This window comes from Homo sapiens, chromosome 19, assembly GCF_000001405.40.
Source record: "Homo sapiens chromosome 19, GRCh38.p14 Primary Assembly".
Taxonomy (NCBI): Eukaryota; Metazoa; Chordata; class Mammalia; order Primates; family Hominidae; genus Homo; species Homo sapiens.
Window position 1 is genome coordinate 15,464,546 of NC_000019.10, and position 16,210 is coordinate 15,480,755.

General features: G+C 50.8%; 1 protein-coding gene across 2 annotated transcripts, besides 3 other annotated features; it reads right to left on the reverse strand.

Annotated features, from left to right (window-relative positions):
* Positions 233-342: an enhancer, noted in NCBI's record as "active region_14188". NCBI's record gives its function as "activates an Ori minimal core promoter by ATAC-STARR-seq in GM12878 lymphoblastoid cells {active_cell/tissue: GM12878}" and the evidence as "EXISTENCE:reporter gene assay evidence [ECO:0000049][PMID:35858748]".
* PGLYRP2 (peptidoglycan recognition protein 2) lies at positions 4,100-14,956 on the reverse strand. Of its 2 annotated transcripts, NM_052890.4 has the most exons (5): positions 14,766-14,956; positions 10,993-12,063; positions 7,345-7,555; positions 5,087-5,384; positions 4,100-4,207 (listed from the first exon to the last, which is right to left on the reverse strand). In NM_052890.4, exons 1-5 carry the CDS (start codon positions 14,824-14,826, stop codon positions 4,118-4,120), a joined length of 1,731 nt encoding a protein of 576 aa, NP_443122.3. In that variant the 5' UTR covers positions 14,827-14,956; the 3' UTR covers positions 4,100-4,117. The 2 variants fall into 2 exon arrangements, with proteins under 2 accessions (NP_443122.3, NP_001350475.1); NM_001363546.1 differs by having other exon boundaries at positions 4,100-5,384.
* Positions 5,341-5,430: an enhancer, noted in NCBI's record as "active region_14189". NCBI's record gives its function as "activates an Ori minimal core promoter by ATAC-STARR-seq in GM12878 lymphoblastoid cells {active_cell/tissue: GM12878}" and the evidence as "EXISTENCE:reporter gene assay evidence [ECO:0000049][PMID:35858748]".
* Positions 5,441-5,490: an enhancer, noted in NCBI's record as "active region_14190". NCBI's record gives its function as "activates an Ori minimal core promoter by ATAC-STARR-seq in GM12878 lymphoblastoid cells {active_cell/tissue: GM12878}" and the evidence as "EXISTENCE:reporter gene assay evidence [ECO:0000049][PMID:35858748]".
* Positions 14,957-16,210: the final 1,254 nt, after the last annotated feature.

The window sequence follows — 16,210 nt, forward strand, 5'->3', positions numbered from 1 at the left end:
CCCCGCCTGGCTTCCTCCCTCGGAACCCAACTCCACGTGACCCTCTCTGTCCCACCCCACCCCACAGCCAGGCTGGGAGGGCACAGTGCGGGCAGGTTGCTGGAGGTTCGAGGGAGGAGAAGAGAGGAGGTGGGTTACCAGGCTTCTAGCAAGAAGGACCCAGACTGCCTCCCTGACGGGGAGGCAGCACTTGCCCCTCTCTCTGAGCCTCCGTTGCCTTCTCTGCAAAATGAGTACAGGCTGAACAAATGCTGGCGAGAATACAAAGCACCTAGAACTCTAATCCACAGTTGGCCGGAGTGTAGACCCATTCACTCATGTTGGGAAACGGTTTGGCAGGATCTACTAACACTACTAGCTGGATCTTCTCTGACTCAGCAATTCCATTGCTAGGTAGACGTCCAATAGATATGCCCCCCCAGCACAATGCATAATAGCCCCACATTGGAAGCAGCCTAAGTACCCATTAGTGGGAGAAGGAATAAATTGTGATCTCTTCGCACAGCAGAATATCATACAGCAGTGAGAACAAACTAAAGAATGATTTAACTTGGGTGAATCACAAACAATGTTGAGCCAAAACCAAAACCAAAGCCATAAAATGCCAGTAATCTGAGCTATTCAGGAGGCTGAGGGAGGAGGATCGCTTGAGGCCAGGAGTTCGAGGCTGCAGTGAGCTGTGATCATGCCTGTGAATAGGCAGTGCACTCCAGTCTGGGTGACATAGGGAGACCTCATATCTAACTTTTTTTTTTCTTTTTCCCCTCCCTGCCCTCGGGAGACCCCATCTCTAAAAAGCAATAATAAATAAATTTAAAAACCCCAAAACAATGAAGAGTATACACTTTGTGATTCCATTTACATAAAGTCCTAAAGCAGGCAAAACCATGTCTAACAAGCAGGGTATCAGTTTCTTTTGGAGGCACTGGTGGCTGGGAAGAGGGTACAAGGGGGGCTTCTGGAAGATGGCAAGATTTATTATTACTCTTATTATTATTAATTGATTTATTTATCGAGAAGGAGTTTCGCTCTGTCTCCCAGGCTGGTGTGCAGTGGCACGATCTTGGCTCACTGCAATCTCTGCCTCCCGGATTCAAGTGATTCTCCCTACTCAGCCTCCTGAGTAGCTGGGACTACAGGTATTCACCACCATGCCTGCCTAATTTTTTTGTATTTTTAGTAGAGACGGGGTTTCACCATGTTGGTCAGGCTGGTCTTGAACTCCTGACCTGAAATGATCTGCCCGCCTTGGCCTCCCAAAGTGCTGGTATTATAGGCGTAAGCCACCGTGCCCGGCCCTTATTATTATTATTATTTATAAATGAGGTCTATAAAAATAATATAGATCTCATAAAATAAAAATATAATATTTATATTACATAGTAATATAAATAATATTACATTATACATAATATGAATATTATTATTTTTTGTAGATGAGGTCTGTCATCCAGGCTGGAGTGCAGTGGTGCCATCATAGCTCTCTGTAACCTCTAACTCCTGGGCTCAAGAGATCCTCTCGCCTTAGCCTCCTGAGTAGCTGGGACTACAGCTGCATGCCACCACACCTGGCTTATTAAAAACAATTTTTTTGTTGTTGTTGAGATGAGGGTCTTGCTTTGTTGCCCAGGCTGTTCTTGAACTCCTGGCCTCAAGTGATCCTCCCACCTCAGCCCCCTAAGTAGCTGGGATAATAGGCACATGCTACCATGCCTGGCCTATTTTTTTTTTAATTGAGGTAAAATTCATATAACACAAATTTAGCATGTTCTTTTTTTTTTAATAAGATTTTTTTTTGAGACAGGGTCTTGCTCTGTTGGCCAAGCTGGAGTGCAGTGGCACAATCACAGCTCACTGCATTCTCAACCTCCTGGGCTCAAGCGATCCTCCTACCTCAGGCTCTCGAGTAGCTGGGACTACAGGTGCATGCTACCTGACTAATTTTTAACTTTTTGTTTGTTTGTTTTTTGTAGAGATGGGGCCTCACTATGTTGCCCATGCTTGTCTTGAACTCCTGGGCTCAAGCAATCCTCATGCCTCAGCCTCCCAAAGTGCTGGGAATACAGGAATAGCATCAGCCTCTGTGCCCAGAGAGACGAAGCCTTGTTCTGTCACCCAGGCAGGAGTACAGTGGCTATTCCCAGGCATGATTGTGGGTCACTGCAACCTTGAATTCCTGGGCTCAGGCAATCCTCCTGCCTCAGCCTCCTGAGTAGCTGGGACTGCAGGTGCATGCCACCATGCCTGGCTAATTTTAATTTTTTTTTTTTTGTAAAGAGACAGGGTCTCACTATGTTGCCCAGGCTGGTCTCCTACTCCTGGGCTCAGGCAGTCCTCCTGCTTCAGCCTCTGTAGTGGCTGGGACTGCAGATGTGTGCCACCACGCTTGGCTTAACATGTTCTATTTCTTGAGCTGGGTCCTGGTTACATGGCTGTGTGCTGTTGTGAAAATTCATCAAGCTGTGCCCTTGGGAGCACTTTCTTGTATCTCTGTTAGGCTTCCACAGATGTTTACTTGAAAGCCAGAGGTAAGTAAATGCCATTCTGAGGAATAAATGAGTCAGCATAAATCCGGTCCAGGAGCCGAGTACCAGCTGGCCCCTCTCCCTCTGTGTGACCTCAGACAAGTCATTTCCTCTCTCTGAGCCTCGTTTTCCTTATTTGTACAAGACGATAATATCAGTTTCAAAAGATTCATGTAAGCCTTTGTCTAGTCAACAAATGTTTCCCGAGTGCCTATTACATGCTAGGTGCTGGAGAGGCCGCAGAGAACTAACCAAACTTGGTTTCTGCCTTCCTGGAGCTCACAGATGATGGAGGTAGATAAGATCCTAAACTCATACATGAGACATTTCTAGCTGGTAAGGAGGACCTAGAAGGAAATAGGCTGCAGTGAATGCTGAGCAAAAATGCCACTCTTTGAGCTGGAAAAATCAGGGAGGACTTCCCTGAGGAGGTGACATTTGCAGCCATTTGTATCTAGCAGATGGAGTCCACTATGTCTGTGTAACAAGCATTCCAAAAGTGCCAGTGAATTAACATGTCCCTGAGAGCAGCCCTCACATAATAACTGGTGGGAATTAGTGTATAAATACCCCAGCTCCCTCAACCCTTGTGTGGGATGACTCAGGTATGTGTCCTATGCTCTCCCTCAGGGCTTCGAAGTGAGACTGAGCTCTCTTGCCTACAGTGGAAACTTGCTTGAAAACACATTATTCCCTGGCTGCCTCCAGTTCCCTGCATCGGTACCTGGGTTGTTCACCTCTCTATTTTTTCTTTTTCTTTTTTTTTTTTTCCTTCCTTCCTTCCTTCCTTCCTTCCTTCCTTCCTTCCTTCCTTCCTTCCTTCCTCCCTTCCTCCCTTTCTCCCTTCTTTCCTCTTTCTTTCGTTCTTTCTTTCTTCCTTTCTTTCTTTTTTTTTCTTTGAGACAAGCTCTCACTCTCTTCTCCAGGCTGCTGTACAGTGACGCAATCATGGTTCACTGCAGCCTCGACCTCCCAGCCCAAGCAATCCTCCCACCTCAGCCTCCGGAGTAGCTGGGACTGCAGGCACACAACATTGTACCTGGATAATTTTTTCTTTTTTTGAGACAGGGTCTTGCTCTGTCTCCCAGGCTGGAGTGCAGTGGTGTGATTTCAGCTCACGGCAACCTCTGCCTCCTAGGCCCAAGTGATCCTCCTACCTCAAGTGTGTGGCACCACTCCTGGCTAATTTTTTGTATTTTTGTTAGAGACGGGGTTTTGTCATGTTGGCCAGGCTGGTCTTGAACTCCTGAGCTCAGGCGATCCACCCTCCTCAGCATCCCAAAATGCTGGGATTACAGGCATGAGCCACCGTGCCTGGCTATGCCTGGATAATTTGAAAATTTTTTTTTGCAGAGATGAGATTTCACTCTATTGCCCAGGTTGTTTTCGAACTCCTGAGCTCAGGTGATCCCCTCGCCTCAGCCTCCCAAAGTGCTGGGATTACAGATGTGAGCTGCCGTGCCCTGCCCTGGGATCTCCTCTCAATAAACTACTTGTACTGGAATTATTGTCTTAAGGTCTGCTTTTGGGAAGACCCAAACTAAGACAATGCATGATGATGCATGAACAGAGACTTTGTTTCCATGCTGTCTTTATTGGAGGTCTGTGGCTGGCAGGGTCCTTGGGGGTGGCTCCCTCCTGGATCTCTTAGAGACACTCCTGGCAGGTCTTGGCTTAACAGTCTGGAAAAAGACAAGGGAGTGTGAGGCTTGGGGGTGGTTGTGGTATGTGGCTGGGTCTGCCCTCCTGGTGGTGGAACCCTGGATCAGGGAGGGGACAGTGGCCCAAAGTGAGAGAGTGAGGACAAAGCCAACTATAGGCCGAGATGGATGTGCTAGTCAATAGCTTAATGAAATGGAGTGGCAGTATGTAGGTAGCACGAGATTGTCCAGGTGTGATTCTAAAATTGTTTTAGTGATGGCGATCAAGGGCTGGGATGAGGTCATCAGGTCAAAGTTGTGCTGGCATAAGAGTTGTCATCAGGGGTTAAGGAGTCAGGGACGAAACAAGCAACCTCAGAGTTGAGATTGTCTGGACAGAGAATTGCAACACAGGATTAAGGACTGGACAGAGGTTGTGAAGGCAAAAGGTCACAGCCTAGGTTCATGTTGTGTGGACAGAGGGCCTTCGGGTAGGGGCAGGGGTGAGGTCAAGGTTCGGCGGGCCAGGATGAGGTGGTGCAGCCTGACAGGTTGTGACTTGGGTAGAGAAGTCATGAAGGCCAGGCTGAGGTTGTGAGGGCAGAGGGGCTGTTGGCAGGTGTCAGGGTCCATGCCTTGGCTGGAAAGGTAGAGGTATTAGGAGCTGGGGAAAGGACAGGCTGGCTGGGTCTGGGGCTGAGCTGAGGCTGCATAGGCAGAAGTCACAGGATCAGGGATGTTGCCCGCAGAGTGACCCGCAAAGGCTGGGCCTAGGTTTCCTGAATAGACGTGCCGCCGGGAAGTTGGGGGCCTGGCTGAGGCTGTGCGGGCACAGCTGTTACAGGCAGGGGGCAGGGGCCTCGTGGAGCTTGTGTAGACGGAGGGGCGGCGGGCCGTGTAGTGCAGGCTGCGAAGACTCACCGCGGTGAAGTGCGGCCAGGTGCGCAGCAGGTCGAAGAGCGCGTCGCCGGGGCAGTCGGTGCGCACCAGCTGGCGGTGGCCCAGCAGCGCGTAGTCTGGCCGCAGGAGGCCGGCGCGCACCGCACAACTCGGGAGCGTGTCGCGCACCGTGCGCAGAGCGGCCTCGGTGGGCAGCGCCGCGGTGTAGTTGCCCACTATGGCCACGCCGAAGCCCCGGGAGTTGTGGCCGAGCGTGTGGGCGCCCACCCAGTGCCAGCCGCGTCCCTCGTACACGTAGCCGTCCGAGCCCACCACGAAACTGCAGAGGGGAGGGAGAAGCAAGCACCATGCGGCGTGAGGGGGACCCGGGCCCTTATCCGCTCCCCTCCCCGATTCTGTTGGTGTGCCAAGGGCCACCGACCCCAAGACCCGCGCGGTCGCGCTGCCTGTGTCCCATCCAGCTCTGTTCCACTCTCACACCAGCTGCCACTCCAGGACCGTTCGGTTTCTCTGGATCCGCCCTTCAGTACTGGCACGCCCCTTTCTGCCCTTCTCCTCCCCACCTCTGCCTTTTCTCAAGCCCAGTTCTTGCCCAATTCAGAGAGCTTTTCTGTTTTTGGGTTTTTTTTCTTTCCTTCCTTCCTTCCTTCCTTCCTTCCTTCCTTCCTTCCTTCCTTCCTTCCTTCTTTCTTTCTTTCTTTTTTTGATGGAGTTTCACTCTTGTCGCTGAGGCTGAAGTGCAAGGGCGCGATCTCGGCTCACTGCCACCTCCACCTCCCGGGTTCAAGCGATTCTCCTGCCTCAGCCTCCGGAGTAGCTGGGATTACAGGCACCCGCCACCACGCCCATCTAATTTTTTTTTTAATTTTTATTTTTAGTAGAGACGGTGTTTCGCCATGTTGGCCAGGCTGGTCTCGAACTCCTGACCTCAGGTTATCTGCCCTCCTCGGCCTCCCAAAGTGCTGGGATTACAGGCGTGAGCCACTGTGCCCAGCCTTCTCCCCTCCCCTCGCCACCCCTCCCTTCTTCCCTTCCCTTCCCTTCCCTTTTGGAGACGGAGTTTCGCTCTTGTAGCCCAGGCTGGAGTGCAACGACGCGATCTCGGCTCACTGCAACCTCCGCTTCCCAGGTTCAAGTGATTCTCCCGTCTCAGCCTCCCGACTAGCTGGGATTACAGGCATGCACCACCACGCCCGGCTAATTTTGTATTTTTAGTAGAGACGGGGTTTCTCCATGTTGGCCAGGCTGGTCTGGAACTCCCGACCTCAGGTGATCCACCCGCCTCAGCCTCCCAAAGTGCTGGGATTACAGGCGTTAGCCACCGCTCCCGGCCTCCTTCTTCTTTTCGAGACGGGTTCTCGCTCTGTCACTCAGGCTAGAGTGCAGAGATGCGATCATAACTCACTCAAGCCTCGAACTCCTGGGCTCCAGCGATCCTCCCACCTTAGCCTGCCGAGTAGCTGGGACTACAGGCGCGCAACACCATGCCCAGCTTTTTTTTTTTTTTTTTTTTTTTTTTTGAGACGGAGTCTCGCTCTGTCGCCCAGGCTGGAGTGCAATGGCGCGATCTCGGCTCACTGCAGGCTCCGCCTTCCGGGTTCACGCCATTCTCCTGCCTCAGCCTCCCAAGTAGCTGGGACTACAGGCACCCGCCATCACGCCTGGCTAATTTTTTTGTATTTTTTAGTAGAGACGGGGTTTCACCGTGTTAGCCAGGATGGTCTCAATCTTCTGACCTCGTGATCCTCCCGCCTCGGCCTCCCAAAGTGCTGGGATTACAGGCGTGAGCCACTGCGCCTGGCCTTTTTAAGTTTTTTTTGTTTGTAGAGATGGGTGGTGTGGGGGGGTGTCTTCCTATATTGCTCAGGCTGGTCTCGAACTCCTGGGCTCCAGCGATCCTCTCTTCTCAGCCTCCCAAAGTGGTGAGATTACAGGCGGGAGCCACCGCACCAGGCCTCCTTGTCTGTTTTAGGCCATCTCTGCCTGGCCCCAGACCCAGACTCTGCCACAGGTCCCGCTCCTCTCCCAGATCCCGCCTCCTGTACTAGTTCTCTACCCTGACTGGAGTCCCATGATTTAGCTATTCCCGGTCCCTATTAAGGCCCCGCCCCTAGCCTAAGCCACGCCACCTCTCCAACTTTGCTCTACCTATCAGGACTCCTCCTTGGTCTTGCCAGCTTTCCTCGGGTTCAAGCCCGGTCCCCTGCATCAGGCTCCGCCCACTCAGACCCCATCCCCGAACGTGGGCCCCGCCCCCTCCCCGGTCGGGCCCCTCCTACCTGTAGCCGATGTCTCCCCAGCCTTGCGTGTCCTGGTGGTAGCGCTGCATGGAGCGCATGTTGGCTGCGCAGCGCGTGAAGTCCGTGCAGGGTGGTGCAGGCACGTAGGTGTGATGCACGTACAAGAATCCCAGCGGCAGCTGCAGCAGCTTCGGGCGGCCCCGATAAGGCGCCGCTCCCCAGCGGCAGCGGGGGTGGATGGCCGGGCATCCTACAGGCAAGGGGGTTGAAGGCTGGGGTCAGGAACTGTTTCTCTGCCTGTTCCTCCACCCGCATTAAAGCGCACATACAGACCATCCCTCAGCCTCCTCTCAGATTTGGAAAGGGTCCAGTCTCACCCCACATTGGTCCTCCCTGGGGACCAACTAACTATACTCAACTAAATCTATTTTATTTTTATTAAAAAAAATTGGGGGTGGGCCGGACGTAGTGGGTCTCACCTGTAGTCCCAGCAGTTTGGGAGGACGAGGTGGGTGGATCACTTGAGGTCAGGAGTTTGAGACCAGCCTGGCCAACATGGTGAAACCCGGTCTCTACTAAAAATACAAAAATCAACCAGGCATGGTGGCACATGCCTGTAATCCCAGCTACTTGGGAAGCTGAGGCATGAGACAACTTGCTTGAGCCTGGGAGGTGGAGGTTGCAGTGAGCCGAGATTGTGCTATTGCACACCAGCCTGGGTGACAGAGCAAGACTCTGTCCCCCCCAAAAAAAAATTGGAGGTGGGGGCAGGCATGGTGGCTCACTCCTGTAATCAATCCCACACTTTGGGAGGCGAGGTGGGTGGATTGCTTGAGCCCAGGAGTTCAAGACCAGCCTGGGCAACATAGTGAGACCTCATTTTCTAGAAAAAGAGAAATCAGATTTCCCAAAGCAATCTACAGATTCAATGCAATCTCTATCAAAATATCAAAGTCATTTTTCACAGAATTAGACAAAACTATCCTGAAATTCGCAAGGAACCAAAAATGAGCCCAAATAGCAAAAGCAATTCTAAGCAAAACGAGCCTGGTATCACATTACCTGACTTCAAATTATACTACAATACTATAGTAACCAAAACAGCATGGTACTGTTACAAAAATAGACACATAGACCAATGGAATGAAATAGAGAACCCAGAAGTAAAGCTGCACACCTACAAACAATAATTTTCAACTAAGTCGACAAAAATAAGCAATGGGAAAAGGACTGCCTATTCAGTAAATGGTGCTAATGGTGCTGGGACAACTGGCCAACCATATGCAGAAGAATGAAACTGGACCCCTAACTCTTACCATATACAAAAATTAACTCAAGGACAGATGCGCTAGCTCACGCCTGTAATCCCAGCAATTTTGGAGGCTGAGGTGGGTGGATCACCTGAGATCAAGAGTTTGAGACCAGCCTGGCCAACATGGTGAAACCCCGTCTCTACTAAAAATACAAAAATTAGCCGGGCATGGTGGTAGGTACCTGTAATCCCAGCTATGTGGGAGGCTGAGGCAGGAGAATCGCTTGAACCCAGGAGGCAGAGGTTGCAGTGAGCTGAGATCACATCTTTGCACTCCAGCCTGGGCAACAGAGCAAAAACTCTGTCTCAAAAAAAAAAAAAAAAAAAAAAAAAAAAAAAAAAAAAAATTGCTCAAGATAGATTAAAGACTTACATGTAAGACCTGAAACTCTAAAATACCAGAAGAAAACCTAAGGAAAACGCTTCTGAACATTGGGCTAGGCAAAGAATTCATGACTAAGACCTCAAAAGCACAGAGCAAAAGAAACAAAGTAGACAAATGGGACTTAATTAAACCAAAAAGCTTCTGCACACCAAAGATATAATCAACAGAACGAACAGACAACCTTCAGAATGGGAGAAAATATTTGCAAACTATGCACTGGTATGGGACTAATACCCAGAATTTACAAGGAACTCAAACAATTCAAGAAAGAAAAGAAAGAAAGAAAGAAAGAAAAAGAAAGAAAGAAAGAAAAAGAAAGAAAGAAAGAAACCCACTAAAAAGCGGGCAAAAGACATTAATAGACATTTTTCAAAAGAAGATATACACATGGCCAATAGGCAAAGGAAAACATGCTCAACATCACCAATCATCAGAGAAATGCAAATTAAAACCACAATGAGATATCATCTTACTCTAATCAGAATAGCTATTATTAAAAAGACAGAAAAGCCGGGTGATGGCTCACGACTGTAACCCCAGCACTTTGGGAGGCTGAGGTGGGTGGATCACCTGAGGTTAGGAGTTTGAGACCAGCCTGGGCCAACATGGTGAAACTCTGTCTCTACTAAAAATACAAAAATTAGCCGAGCATGGTGGCAGGCACCTGTAATCCCAGCTACTTAGGAGGCTGAGGCAGGAGAAACGCTTGAACCCAGGAAGTGGAGGTTGCAGTGAGCCGAGATTGTGCCATTGCACTCCAGCCTGGGAGACAAGAGTGAAACTCTGTCTAAAAACAAAACAAAACAAAACAAAACAAAAAAAATAATAATAAATTGGAACTATCATTCAATCCAGCAATCCCACTACTGGATATCTACCCAAAGGAAAATAAATCATTATATTAAAAAGATACCTGCATTCACATGTTGATCAGGGCACTATTCACAATAGCAAAGGTAAGAAATTAACTTAACTGTCCATCAAAAGAGAATTGGATAAAGAAAATATGATATATATTACAGGCCTGGATGGCTCTGGGTCTGAGAGCCCTGGACGAAGGTCAGGCCCAGGTTTCCAGCTAGGGTGATTGCCAGGAGGTTGTCTACAGTGGTCGGCAGGAAATGGAATACTACTCAGCTGTAAAAAATGACATAATGTTGGCTGGGCATGGTGGCTCACGCCCGTAATCCTAGCACTTTGGGAGGCCAAGGTGGGTGGATCACGAGGTCAGGAGATCGAGACCACCCTGATAAAATGATGAAACTCCGTCTCTACTAAAAATACAAAAAATTACCCAGACATGGTGGCACATGCCTGTAGTCCCAGCTACTCAGGAGGCTGAGACAGGAGAATTGCTTGAACCCAGGAGGCGGAGGTTGCAGTGAGCTGAGATCGTGCCACTGCACTCCAGCCTGGGCGACAGAGAGAGACTCAAAAAAAAAAAAAAAGAAAGAATGTCTTTTGCAGCAACATGGATGGAACTGGAGGCCATTATCTCAAGTGAAACAAGTCAAACACAGAAAGACAAATACCGTAAGTTCTCACTTATAAATGGGAGCTAAATAATGTGTATGCATGGATGTAGCGTGTGGAAAGATAGATAGTGGAGATTCAGAAGGGTGAGGGAGAGAGAGGAGGGAGGATGATGACAGATTGCTTAATGGGTGGATGTATGTTATTGGAGTGATGGGTACCTAAAAGCCCAGACTTGACCACTATGCAATCTATGCGAGAAACAAGGTTACACTTGTACCCCATAAATTAATGCAAATAAATATAATGAAGCAAAACAAAATGAGATGAACTCCTATTCATCCTTCAAGGCCCAACTCTGGCATTTCCTCACCTGTGCAGCTGTCCCACCCACCCCCGACCAGATCCCTTATTGCCCCCTCTGGACTCTCCTAGTCCTCAACTTCCCTGAATATACGGGGTGGGGGCGTCTGTGTCTGTAATGGGAAGGATCACAGGGTGTGGGGAACTTCCTCACCCAGGAAGGCCTCAGTGAATTCCTTGGTAGCATTGGCAGCCACCTGGGCCAGCTGTTCTTGGCTCATGCACTGAAGCTGGAGGTGTACTGGCTCCAGCCTCTGTAGAAGGACAAGGGTTCCCCACACCTGCTGGGCCAGGATGGAGGCTGAAGTCAGAGCAGCACCGTTCTGCCGTCGGAAGTTGCTGCGGAACCCTGGGTCTCTGGCCACCCCAGCCCCATAGTACTGGCTCAGCAAGTGGCTGAGGGATGGCCGGGGCTCAGGAGTCCGGCTCAGGTAGTCTCCAAGGATGACCCCATCCAGGGCGCCATTGAGGAAGGCCATGGTTAACAGAGATGCCTTGGGGTCCAAAAGCGTAAAGGTCCGAGGGGCAGAGAGCTGGTCCCAGCAGCCCTCAGTTCCCAGGTCTGGATGGCTCTGGGTCTGGGAACCTCGGAGGAAGGTCAGGCCCAGGTTTCCAGCCAGGGTGACTGCCAGGAGGCTGTCCACCATGGTCGGTGGGGACTTGGCTTTGGCATCTGGCAAGGAAGCTTGGACATCTGGACAGCCTTTTGTAGCATCTGGAGTGTTGGCTCCAATATCTGCAGTGGTGACATCTGGAGAGCCATCCCTGAGTCCTGGGGAGGAGGTGGCTCTTACATCTGGAGCAATGGCCACAACATCTGGAAAGGTATCTCCAGTCTCCCAAGGGGCAGCCATGCTGTCCAAGGGCAAATTTATGACCCTGCGCCCTTGCAGCCCTGCCTCCAGCCCCGCCAGCAGAGGCTCCACAGCCACGGTCGAGCCATCAGGTGCCAGCACCACCCCATATTCCTTCCCTTCTCGTACGTCATGTCGGGCCACCTCCTTGGTCAGGCCTAACAGCTCTGGGCTTAGTGGGCAGGGATCCAACTCTGTAGCATTGAGGCTCCATGCCCCCAGCAGGAAGTGGTAGAGGCGATTGTGGGGGCCAGAGTTTGGAGCTGACATCAGCCACGCAGAAGCTGTGTGTCTGGTCTTGGCAGCTGGCACTTTCTGCTCCAGCTCAGCCAGGGCCTGGATGACAGAGTCCATGAGCAGGGGCAGGGAGGCTGCAGGAGGAAAGAATGTGTTAGCCCAGCCCCACCCATTCCTGAGCCTCCTTGTATTGATTCCACATCTACCCAATGCTCCCAGCCCTCCATCTGATAACCCCATGACCCCCAACACTATCCTTGTGTAGATGAGGAAAGTGAGGTACACAGACTATTGCCTGTTGGTTAAGGAGCTCAGACTGTCTGTGAGTACTGGGGAGCCATGGCAGATTTATGAGCAGGACAGAGGTGTGACGAACCTGGCATTCTAAGACTCCTTTCTTAGGCTTAGATTTGTTTGGCTGCCATAAGGAAATGGATTTTTGGGGTGCCAGGATAGAAAAGGGGAGACAGTGTGGAGGTGAGAGATGAAGGTGGCAGAAGGTAGGTAGTGACATTGCAGTGGACAAAAGTGGAAGAGTCCCCAGATCGTGAGAGGGAGAGATGGATGGTCTTTTGTGATGAATTGAAGTTAAAAATTGGGGATGTTAGAGGGAAAGGTATTTTGAAAGATGCCTGGGACTGGCTGTGGTGGCTTAGGCCTGTAATCCCAGCACTTTCGGAGGCCGAGGTGAGTGGATCACCTGAGATCAGGAGTTCAAGGCCAGCCTGGCCAACACCGTGAAACCCCATCTCTAATAAAAATACAAAAATTAGCCAGGCATGGTGGTGTGTGCCTGTAATCCCAGCTACTTGGGAGGCTGAGACGGGAGAATCACTTGAACATGGGAGGTGGAGGTTGCAGTGAGCCGAGATTGCGCCACTGCACTCCAGCCTGGGTGACAGAGTGAGACTTTGTCTCAAAAAAAAAAAAAAAAAAAAAAATGCCAGACGCAGTGGCTCACGCCTGTAATCCCAGCACTTTAGGAGGCAGAGGCGGGTGGATCACCTGAGGTCGGGAGCTCAGGACCAGCCGGATCAACATGGCGAGACTCCGTCACTACTAAAAATACAAAAATTAGCTGGGCATGGTGGCACACACCTGTAACCCCAGCTACTCAGGAGGCTGAGGCAGGAGAACTGCTTGAACCCAGGAGGTGGAGGTTGCAGTGAGCCAAGAACCCCCCACTGCATTCCAGCCTGGGTGACAGAGTGAGACTCCATCATAAAATAAAATAAATAAAATAAAATTAAATTAAAATAAAATAAAATAAAATAAAATAGCCTGGGAGGCAGGGGGAAGAGCAGGATGGGCTTGTGCCATGTTGGGGAAATGTCAGTGGCTGAACTGCAAACCTAGAAATGCTAAGTTAGGCTCAGAGCTGGTTCAGAGATGGGTTATCAAATAATAGCTAACTTTCAGTAAACATTTACTATGTGCTAGCTACTAGTCTAGGTGACTTATATATTAATAATTTAACGCAGTTAGTCTTCACAACTCTTGTGAGGTAGGTCCTTTTAGCCCCTGTCTTAGTACATTGGTGCTGCTATAACAGATCTCTGAGGTTGGGTAATTTATGAAAAACAGAAATTTGGCCAGGTGTGCTGGCACATGCCTGTAATCCCAGCACTTTGGGAGGCCGAGGCAGGCGGATCACTTGAGGTCAGGAGTTTGAGACCAGCCTGGCCAACATGGTGAAACCCCGTTTCTACTAAAAATACAAAAGTTAGCCGGGTGCGGTGGCGGGCACCTGTAATCCCAGCTACTTGGGGGGCTGAGGCAGGAGGATCTGTTGAACCCGGGAGGTGGAGGTTGCAGTGAGCTGAGATCATGCTGCTGCACTCCAGCCTGGGCGACAGAGTCAGACTCTGTCTAAAAAACAAAAAAAAAGAACAGACATTTATTTCTCATAGTTCTAGAGGCTGGGAAGTCCAAGATCAAAGCACTGGCATTTGGGACTTCCTAGCCTGCAGAACTGCAAGAAAGTAAATTTCTCTTCTTTACAAATTTACTCAGTTTCAGGTACCCTGGCCTATATAGAAGCACAAAGGGACTAAGATGGTGTCCCTTTACAGATGAGGCATCTGAAGCACAGAGAGGTTAAGTTACCTGCCTAAGGTCACACAGGAAGGAAGTGGCAGAGGCAGGATTTGCCTTTGTTTTTTTTTTTTTTTTTTGAGACGGAGTCTTGCTCTATCATCCAGGCTGGAGTGCAGTAGTGCTCAGCTCACTGCAACCTCCTGAGTTCAAGCAATTTTCTGGCCTCAGCCTCCTGGGTAGCTGGGATTACAGGTGCCTGCCACCACGCCTGGCTAATTTTTGGTATTTTTAGTAGAGATGGGGTTTCACCATGTTGGCCAGGCTGGTCTCGATCTCCTGATCTCAAGTGATCTGCCCGCCTTGATCTCCCAAAGTGCTGGGATTACAGGCCTGGCCAGTAGTAGAATTTGAATCCAGGAAGTCTTACTCGACACACTCTCCTGGTCTAGAATCTAGGTTCTTCTCCAGTCCACCACCTAACCTGTGTAGCTTTGCTCTTCTCTGCAAAAAATGCCCTTTCTGGCTTCTCCCCCAAATCATTTCTCTTTCTTCCTAGCCTAGCTCTTATGTCTCCTCCTCCAAGAAGCCTTCCCTACTTTTGCTCTCCAGGCCCCAGATTCCTTCCCTTATCCTTGCCTTGACTCTGTGGAGCTGGGAATATCTATGTCCCCATGCTGGAGCTTCTTTGAGAGCTTGAGTCTCCAGCCTCACTCCATGCAGGGCAAGACATAGATGGGACAGCAGTACGCCTTCTGCAGAGCCAAGAGGTTTGGTCCCAGGACTCTGCCCCCTGACTCACCTGTCCCTGGGTCTGACCACAGTAGCAATCCGAGTAGGATCCAGAGGACACCCTGGGCCATTGTTGCAGGATTCCAGCTTCCAAGGGGTATTTCTGGTTGGCCTCGGCAGAGAACCTCGGCAGTGCTGGAGGGAGACAGGCACAGAGAACTGAGCAGAGCCTTTGACCACTGTCAAAGTCCAGCGGCGAATGACAGACCTGCCTCTCGTAGAGCTGTGGGCGGGAGGCAGCAGGGACATGGGGCAGCGTACCCTGGGTCAAGGTCATCTGGGCATCCTGGTCTCCCCCAGTCTCTTCTGTCCCTCCTAGGCTGAGGTCAGTGGTCAGTAAGCCAGGCCCATCCCCAGAGGGGCCTGGAGACCAGGTGGTTCAGACTCCATAAACTCTGCCCATTCTCCAGTGAGGTGGACCGAGGCAACCCCTCAAGTCCTGTCCCTCCCCATAGTGACGGCTCTGTAGCCGCTGCTGGCCACCAGAGGGGACTCTCAGCTGCCGCCTGCTGTACTGGTAAGACCGGCTGTGTTGAGGGAGAGGAGAGAAGCAGAGGCCTGAAGTTGGCACTGCCTTCTGCTTTTTTTTGCAACCAACACTTCAGGCTCAGGCACAGCATCGGTGCGGGGGCTGAGGACAGTGTTTGCTGAGGCCTGAAGTTGGCACTGCCTCCTGCTTTTTTTTGCAACCAACACTTCAGGCTCAGGCAGAGCATGGGTGCAGGGGCCGAGGACAGTGTTTGCTGAGGCCTGCTCTGAGCCCATGGGGACCAGGGGCTGTCACCTCTCATCCAGTTCCAGCCCTTGATTTCAAGCCACCAGCAGTAGCTGAGAGCAGGGGTTGAGCTTGAGTGTTCAGGACCCTGGCATTGTTCCAGGAGCTGGCTTCTGGACTCACCTGGGCTGACAGTGAAATGTCCTTCCTCTTCTCCGGGTGCCCATGACTGAGACCTGCAGAATGGACCCATCTCCCCTTTATTCTGGCATCAGATGGGGCAGGTTGACATGACTGGGCTGTTGTGTATGTAAATTGCTTCCCTGTGGGGCTCCCACCTCAAAACCAGCCCGGGGAGTTTCCAGGAGACCCACCAGCTGGAGACTCAGCCAGGGCAGGCCTGGGAATGTCCAGCCTGAGCCAGGCCTGGGATTCCCCTGGGGGCCACCCCTGGGGCCTCCTCAGGTGTCCTCTTTCTGGGGACCTCCCAGAAAAAAGCTGGGCACATAGTGGAAGCTCAGGATGTAGGGTGCTAAGTGATAGAGTGAATGGGGGACACTTCCCATGGGAGTAAGAGACAATGTCCTCCTCCAAGCTCGTTTCCCAGGATTTGGGGATAGGAGCTTTGCCTGGTAGAACCATATGAAGGTTGTGGGCTGAGGCAGGGACTAGGTTGAGGCATCCTCTTTGCCGCAAAATTTAAGGCAGTGTTGAAAATCTAAGTCATCAATAACTTTTTT